Source organism: Homo sapiens, chromosome 4 (assembly GCF_000001405.40).
Source record: "Homo sapiens chromosome 4, GRCh38.p14 Primary Assembly".
NCBI classification, from domain to species: Eukaryota; Metazoa; Chordata; class Mammalia; order Primates; family Hominidae; genus Homo; species Homo sapiens.
The window spans coordinates 28,678,786-28,687,908 of NC_000004.12; the positions used below are offsets into that span (position 1 = coordinate 28,678,786).

Here is a 9,123-nt window from a genome sequence, read left to right on the forward strand (position 1 = left end):
AACTAAAATTCAATTATTATCTTGGCTGTCATTCTCACTTGACTATCAGGGTCAATAATACACTGTTTTAACAGAGATACATGACAAATGTATAGAATTCAACGAGAGAAAGTTTTACTGTTTTTCAACTAAAGATATCAAGATGAATGGTCTACCTTAGCATCAATGTCTTCCTCTACTCGTTGCAGACTTTCAGGAATCTAGGTTCTCTTTTTCTTCCCCCCACAGCTAGGGCCTTGTCCTCACCTTCCTGATTGGAGCTGGATCATGTGCATGCTCATGGCTCAATTTATATAATCTAGAAAGAGAGAACATGTAGGTTAACAGTATTATTTTAAGCAATTGAAGGAGGAGTTTCCCATATCCTTCTGCTCACATCCCTAGGTACACATGTAGTCACGTTACTCCACCTAGGTAAAAATAAACCTTTGAAATACAACTCCTAGATAGATAGACACATGCACAGCTTAACTTGATTATGACGAAAGAAATTTTGATGGAAAGTAATAGATCTTATAACTGAACAAAGCTATATAAAAACATAAAATCCTGTGAATGTTAACAGATCTTATTTTAAATTTAAGACGACTGACTGCAAGTGGTCTAGTAATGCTGTTTGGCCATTATAATATTTTTTCTTAGGCTTTCCTTTTCTCTACTTACTTTACATTCATCTATAACATTTTTCTTTTCTCTTATATGCTGAGGAAATACTAAATAGAAGCAATCAGAACATTGATTCCATACACCCGCACCACCACATCTTCTCATCTCTCCGTATTAGCAGGTATTGTACTATTTCTTTTTGTTTCTTCCTGTATATGAATTCCCTGTGATTGTAAGCGAAACACATCCATGGGTACATTAAACCCCATCTGCTTTCAACTGCATAAGGATATCTCCCTAGGTATTTTCTCTTTCCTTCTGCATCATCAATTTTTCCCTTTTATTGTATCATCCATATCACCATAAAAATATATTTTTACCACCTTTAGAATAAAGCAACGTGTCTTGATTTCATATACGACAAACAGGGAAGCTAGGTGCACTATTTCTGCTCCTCATTACAGTAAATCTTCTTGGAATAGTGGTCTGTTCAAATCGTCTTTAGTTCCTTCTTTCTCTCTTTCTCACTCTCTCCTTGTCTCTCTCTTCTTTGCCTCCAACTTTCCACAAATGTTGCTATTCTCAGAGTTATAAATGACCCCCATGTTGCTGATTCTAATGACCAAATTTCAGTGCCCCTTTTACAGGACCTTTCAGCAATGTTTACCACAATCACTCTTTCTTCCTAGGAACACTGCAGTAGGCATGCATGATATCACGATCTTTGTGTTTCTCATATACTTCACTAGCTAGCTTTTCTCATCTCATTGCTATGTCTTTCTTACCTTCCTGCTGCTAAAGTCTAGAAGTGCCCTTAGACCTTTCGGCTTTTTGATCCACACTCCCTCTTGTAGTAATCTCATCCAATTTCATGACTTCACATATTATTTATATGCTAAAGAATACAGACTTGAGTATCCAGTGGTGCGATCAATATTTCTACTTGGATGTCTAATAGGAATCTGAAATACAGCATGTCTGAAACTATCCTTTTCACCTTCACCCTGAGACCACGTCCTCCCATATCAGTTAATGACAACTGCATCCTTCTAGTTGTTGAGGTTGACAACAGGGCTATCCTTGAATATACTATATCATACCTCACAATCATTCTGCCAGCAAATACCATAGGGTTTAATGTCACACTGTATGCAGATTCTAACCATTTCTTAACATATTTCATCAACACCATCACTCTGATCCAAGCTACCACCATTGCTCGTTTTTATTATTACAAATGCTTCCTAACTGTTGTCCCTGCTTCCGCACTTGCCACTACGATCATTCTTAACTACACAGGAAAGTGCTCCTGTTAAAACTAAAGGTAAATCATAATACTTCTCTACTCACAATGTTCAAGTGGCTTTTAATCACAAAGGAAAATCTTGTATGTTTGCAATGACCTCCCCCACCCTCACAACTCTGTTTCCATTCCTATTATACAGTGATTCAGAACATAGTCTCAGGAGCTGACTTCTTAGTTTGTGTGGACTCAGGAAATGATATCCCAAAATATGCTGCTTTTGACTTCAAAAGAACCTGGGGAGCAGCAAATGCAGGGAGGAAGCTTTCTCTGAAGTTCTTTTACCTGACTAGGAAATGTTACTATGTTCCTCCAGAAGGAATGCAATTGTCTTGAGCCTCTTCCCTATAATCTCATCAAACTGGAAAGATGAACTCACAAGAAAGAAGGCTAGAGTTGATACTCATCCGGAGCCCAGAAAAACGTTTTCCCAGGCTATGGTCTGGGTGATTTGGATGCATTGATCACCTCTAAAAATCATTTACCCCTTCTCTAAAATTGCTTACACTCTTCATTTCCCTGTCTCTTATGTAGAGGATATTTAAGCTTCAACCATCTTCTTTGAATCTTGTATTTTGTAGGACTATGATGTGCTTGCAAGTAATAAATCTGTATGCCTTTTCTCCTATTAATCTATTATCAGTTTATTTCAGCAGATTCAGTTATTATACTTTCAGAGACAGAGAAGTCCTTTTCACCTCTGCAAGTACAAATGACGGCTCCATCACTTACCAGGTGTTATTTAATCTCTCTGCTCTTTAACGGGGATAACAAAATGATCACTGAGATTTTTAAGAGTGAGTTAATAAATACAAAGCATCTAGAATATCCCTTGTATATTGGAAGTGTTCAATAAACTTTAGTTACTACTGCTTGTCTTCTCCTACTCAGGCTCCACCTACCATGGTCTCCTTACTGTCCCTTAAATATGTCAATTACCTTTTCCTGTAAAAGCCCTTAAAACTTTAAAGCCCTTAACAATTTAAAGCTTAACTTCCAACCTAGCAGTAATACTCCTCATTCTTATCTCCTAGATAAGCTTGCCACTGTATGCATGTATTTACTATTTTATCCCTAGGAGGCATGGACAGTCAATAAATATTTGTTGAATAAGTGAATAAACAAGATATAATTTATCACGTTCACACTCTCTCAACCACTGTATTCAATTTAAATATATTTATTATATTTTGTCCTTCTGATAATTCTATGAGGCTGGCATGTGTTTTACAAGTGCAAAACTAAAACTTCAAAGAAATTTTGTAACTTGCCAAGACCACAAAACTAGAAAGTGGTAGGAATTGGACTTAAACCATTGTCTTTATAATTGTAGTATGCAATATATATATATTTATATAACATTTTAACTTAATTTTTATTATTTTACATTACAAAAATTAAGATGGTGTATACTTTATTCTGAGACATTAATATTTATCACAGAAGATATTTAAAAATGAAAACACATACTTCAGTGTTGTGCCATCTTTAAAAATGTTTACAAACATTTTATATATACCCCAAAATTGTTGAATCATATTCCTCAAAAATTGACTGGTTTTAATGAATTACTTTGATGAAAAGGTACACACCCTCATTAGAAATATATTGATATGGTATATGATAACTACATTTTGTGTGGTCAAAAACTATATAAAAGGTTTTAAAATTCTGAGGGCACATAAAATTCTGTTGATGTTCCTCACAGTTTACCTGTTTGAAAAATAGTTATGTCCTCAAATGCAAGTACAAATAATGCAATACAGGACACAATCATTTTAAATCCAATTTCTAACTTCAATGTATCAAATTACTAAATAGGAATGCTTAATTTCAAGGTTAAAATAAAAACAAATTTTTTAAACCCAGAACCAAAGGAAAAAAGTTTTCTGTTCAGTCACTATTCAGAGAGTAATGATTCTCTAGAATTTGAAAATAAAGACAATAGGCATTTGATCAGAGATAGATTTGATTGTATCTAGTGTTCTTAGAAGGAAGAGATTAGTTATAATAAGAAATACAGCTGAATTACTGTGAGACTAATAAGAGATTTAAGAAGGAAGGGTAAATATTTCTAGTAGTTGACCTTTACTATGACTGAACTAAATAAATTGGTTCTCAGGAATATGGCAGAAATTGAGAAGAAATGCAATTTTCTCATTAAGGAGATAATTACCCAAATAGGAATGCAATTACCCAATGATGAACAGTTGGAAAAGATAGATTCAATTTTACTAGTGAGAATTGAAAAACTGTCAGAGAAAGTTCCAGAGGGAACAAAAGAAGCACTCACAGTGGTCACAGATCTGCACTATTGTTAATGACAACTAAGAACATTTTACCTTTAAAAAGATACCTGCTGAGCCACACAATGGAAAGAGATCTGGGAGGAATTGAAGCTTTCACATATTCAGGGCATTTCAGTACTAGCTGATTGGATAGTTAAAGTGAGAAGTAAGAAAAATGATCAGCTGCCTCCTCCTAAAATATTTCATATTACCATATTGCAAGACATTTTTGCTCTTTACGAACTAATCTCCCCTTCCTTTTCTTCCTACAAACATTCTCAAAATTTCTAATATCTCAGCAATTATTTCAGATTTTTGTTTTCTTGATTGAGGTTCATTTTATATTTAATAAAGCTTAAATAGGATTTTTAGGGATGGCTTATAATTTTGATAGACTCCTTTTTTAAATTCATGAAGTTTGATCTATTTGCATGTTTGTTAGCATACTAATTGACTCAGCATACTGAATTCTCCAGGTAGAGTGTATCTACCAAAATACAAACAAATCTTGAATGGGAAAATGTAATATTATATTACAGTAAATATTCATTCACTGCTGCCTCATGAAAAATGGTCTTTTCTTGACCTAACTCTATTCAGGCTCCTCTGAGTCCTCTATTTTTACTAAGCCCTGAACTTGGCTCTGTTTTGGCCCACTTATTCCAGTTTTATTAAGAATCATAACAGTCTGTTTAGGGAAAATTCTGCAGCTTTGGTCTGACCACCCTCACCTAGCTCCAGTAAAAATCCTGTTAGATCGGTTTAGCAAAGAATTACCCTACTTACTAATTTTCCATCCACTGATGGATCCCCCTACTCTGCTCCTTGGCTATAAGTCTCCACTCTTCCTCACTGGATTCAAAGTTGAGCCAAATCTCTCTTCCCTACTACCAAACACCATTGTAGTAGTCCCTGCTGAATAAAGTCAGCCTTACAGTTTTAACAAATGTCATGGATAATTTTTTCTTTCCTTTTCTCTTCCTTTTCTTTGTTGTTGTTGTTGTTGAGACGGAGTTTTGCTCTTCTTGCTCAGGCTGGAGTACAAGGGTGCAATCTCAGCTCACTGCAACCTCTGCCTCCTGGGTTCAAGTGATTCTCCTGCCTCAGACTCCCCAGTAGCTGGGGTTATAGGCATGCGCCACCACGCCAGGCTAATTTTTTGTATTTAGTAGAAACACCATTTCCCCATGTTGGTCAGGCTGGTCTTGAACTCCTGACCTCAGGTGATCCACCCGCCTCGGCCTCCCAAAGTGCTGGGATTACAGGCGTGAGCCACCACACCCGGCCAGGATAATTTTTTCATTAAAAATCTCCGCTCACACCGCAGTTGTCCCTCGCTCACTTCATCAAGTATAGGCACAAATAATACCACCTAAGACTTCTTTATCAGCAGTTCTAGCCCTCTCCAAATCTGTCACTCTCCATCTTATGCACTGATGTGTTTTCCCCCATAGCACTTACCACTATGTATTTTTATATTATACTCTTACTTGCTTATGGTGTGTTTTTCCTTCTAGAATATAAGTTCCCTAAGTACAGGGTTTCATTCACTGATTAGTCCCAACTACTAGAACACTGCCTTGAATGTTTAGGTGATTAATAAATAACTGTTGAGTGGATGAATGGACCCCTCTCTCCCAGTTAACTCTAATAAGCATTGCATTTTCCTACAAATGAAAAAAGTATCTATACCATTCAGGTAAAAGAAAAAACAAAAACATTCCTGGATTTTACTGAAGGGGTAAGGGCAAGAAAGGATGAGGAACTTAAAGGTAAAGGTATGAGTATTTTTATGGGTAAGTGATCTTTTGCTTTATTCAAAATTAGTATCTTTCCTAGTATCTGGTAAGATCTTATCAAATCAAAAGGATAAGGGGAAGGAAAAGGAGAAAAGGGAGAGGAATAAATCCCTACAGAACTACTGATTTACTGGCTATCATTCAGGTGTATATAAAACTCTACATGTTAATAAACCTGTTATAAGCTAGCACCCTGTTTGTGTGTTTTAAGCATATTACACTTCTAATCTGCAGATTCAACCACAAAAGCAATTTTCAAAATGGGGACTCTGAGGTCTAACTTGTTCAACAATATATTTTAAAAAGTGATACAGACAGAACCAAAACTGTATTCAGCTTACTCAAAAGGCTGAATTATTTCCACTAACTGTAATGTTATTTTACTCAAATTCTATTTGGATAATTCTTAAATAACATTCAGGCTATTTCATGGGGAGAGAGTATAAAAGATTAAAATGTGAAATTAAAAATAAAGTTATAACAGGGAAATAATTGACTCGAAGGAAATAAATCATTATTTTTTATATTTTATGGCAGAAATAAGCAACTAAGTCTTTCCATTTTTCTCTCTTCTTTATTTCTCTTTTCACCTCTTTTTCCGGATTTAGCTTACCAAAACGGATCCTTGGAATTATAAAGTTAAGAAAGCTAGAAAAGTGAAAACTTTTGACATATATTTTTCAGGTCCTTACGGTGGTACTGTAAGAAACCCTGAAGGACTGAGAATTTTCTTCTGTGGCTTTCACATGACCTTTGCCCTCCCAGCTATCTCTCTCCATCCTTTTGTGGAAGAAGGACCTAACTGTGCCACCTCAAAATATTCCCTTTTGGCATAAGAATTCTTGAGCTGAAGGCAATTAAGATGAAGCAAATGTTGGAAAGCTCTCTGCCCTCCTTCTACTGGCCTAAAAACAGGACAGAAATTTACAAAGACAAAAAAGATCCCATCTCCCCTTTCTATCAAAAGAACAAAGGTTAACCGCTGAAGAACACTTTAGACCCATCCAGGGCTGGAGATGGCACCAGGGGAATCTACATTAACACGCTCTACTAACTAGCATTTATCTATTATCTATTTGCCTTTCCACAAGTTGCTGCCCTTAGAGACTCAAAAGTCCTTTTCCTTTTGTCCCGTGACTTCTCTAAAATGGTACTTTTCTTTGTTAAAGATACTATATAAACCAGAACCCAAAGCCATATCATTGAGAACTACTGATTTACTGGTTATTACTCAGGTATATATAAAACTCTACATGTTAATAAACTTTTGTTTTTCTCCTGTTAATCTGTCTTTTGTTACAGGGATCCACTCCAACTAAGAACTTATGAGGGCTGAGGGAAAACTTACTTTTCTTCCCTACCTTCTCACACAGCACTTTACCTCCTAAATCTTCTTTCTCACATCACTTGATAAAATGAAAATTGCCCAAACTATGGTGGCTAATCTACAAAAATACTCATTTTTCCAGGAACTATTTTTTGCATAAACAATTTCTAAAATCAACTGGAATTTGACTGATTGCTCCCCCATTCCCAGACCAATTGTAAAATTTCCACCCAGTTTCTCCAATACAGATTGTCCTTTCAGAGATTTATTGTGTCTGGCATTTTAAAATAAAGATGTATGCTAATGATGTTTTTGTATATTTTCTTCCATAGTGTATTTTATTAGGAATAGGTATTGATAAAATAGAGCCTCCTAGTCAGTGGAATATTGGCCTCAAGTTTGTCCTAAATGGGTTACAGGCGTAACCCCAGGTACTGATTTCATTGGGGATGTGTCAGAGTGTAGCTCTAGCTGAGAAGGGTCTGAGGCCACTCCCTGCCCTCCCAACAGGAAGGAAGAATGACGAACAACATCAGTTCCACTGTTCTGGGATGAACATTCCCAAGCAGGGGCTCTATCTGCTTTAGCAGCTAGCCTCATCTTGCGCCTCTGCCCAGCAGAAGGCAAGGTCCCTATGGAGCTGCTGGACATGTTTGTGGCCCAGGTGCTGGAGATGCGTGCTCTGCCACATGAACAGCAGCCTGTCCAGTAGGGGGCAGAAAGGCTATGCTGGCACTCTTGGCAGGCAGAGCTTTAATGAGATCACCAGAATGGCTAGATTCACATTTATTAGACGCTTCTGTCTGTCTTGAGGGCCCTTTCAGTGGCATCCAAGCTAGATGCCCAGTGACTGCTATAACAATGTGTGCTTGTCCTGAACTTAGAGCTTTGCCATTTTTTTCTAGACATAGAATCTGTTTTCAATTTAAATCAACATTAACTTGAACATTACATTTTAACATTACATCTCTCCATAAAAGCAAACAAAATTAGAAAATTTAAACAAAAACTAAAAAATATAAACTTTTACATAATAAAAGCAAAAAAACTTACATTATTTAAATATTTTAAAATATAAACTTTTAAATGATTTCAAAGATTTGTTTAAAAATTATCATTGATTTTGTAACCCAGTTTTTGTTGTTAACAGTTATCTTTGAAAAATTTGAACAGATCCTCGTTAAGAATTCTAATCAGGTCAGGTGCAGTGGCTCATGCTGGTAATCCCAGCACTTTGGGAGACCAAGGCAGGCAGAGGTCAGGAGTTTGAGACCACCCTGGCCAACGTGGCAAAAACCTGTCTCTACTAAAAATACAAAAATTAGCCAGGCATAGTGGCAGTGCAGGTAATCCCAGCTACTCAGGAGGCTGAGACACGAGAATCACTTAAACCTAGGAGGCAGAGGTTGCAGCAAGCTGAGATTGCGCCATTGCACCAGCCTAGGTGACAAAGCAAGACTCTGTCTACGCCACCCCCACCACCAAAAAAAAAAAAAAAATAGTTCTAATCAGGTATTTTGAATGGCTACTTTGACTGTAAAAGAAAATCATATTCACTGATGTAAGCATTCTTTTTCCTAATTTAAATTTAAACATGTTATTTTAAAACTTGTGATGAATTATTTAATATTTTCTTAAAATTGGATTTGTTTTATTGAAAAATAAAATGACTACTTTTTGCAAGTCTCTTATAAATAAATATTTTCAAATCCAGTCTAACCCATTGTCCCATGTAAGCTTTTTTATTTTCTACCTGTAGTGAAGGGCTTTACATATGTAATTACTAAATATTGGGCATCT

The 9,123-nt window shown here is 36.1% G+C and overlaps 2 annotated features.

Annotated features, from left to right (window-relative positions):
- Positions 3,744–4,253: an enhancer, noted in NCBI's record as "OCT4-NANOG hESC enhancer chr4:28684151-28684660 (GRCh37/hg19 assembly coordinates)". NCBI's record gives its function as "activates a minimal SCP1, AML or CMV promoter by ChIP-STARR-seq in naive and primed H9 embryonic stem cells {active_cell/tissue: H9 hESC(naive and primed)}" and the evidence as "EXISTENCE:reporter gene assay evidence [ECO:0000049][PMID:30033119]".
- Positions 4,254–4,762: an enhancer, noted in NCBI's record as "OCT4-NANOG hESC enhancer chr4:28684661-28685169 (GRCh37/hg19 assembly coordinates)". NCBI's record gives its function as "activates a minimal SCP1, AML or CMV promoter by ChIP-STARR-seq in naive and primed H9 embryonic stem cells {active_cell/tissue: H9 hESC(naive and primed)}" and the evidence as "EXISTENCE:reporter gene assay evidence [ECO:0000049][PMID:30033119]".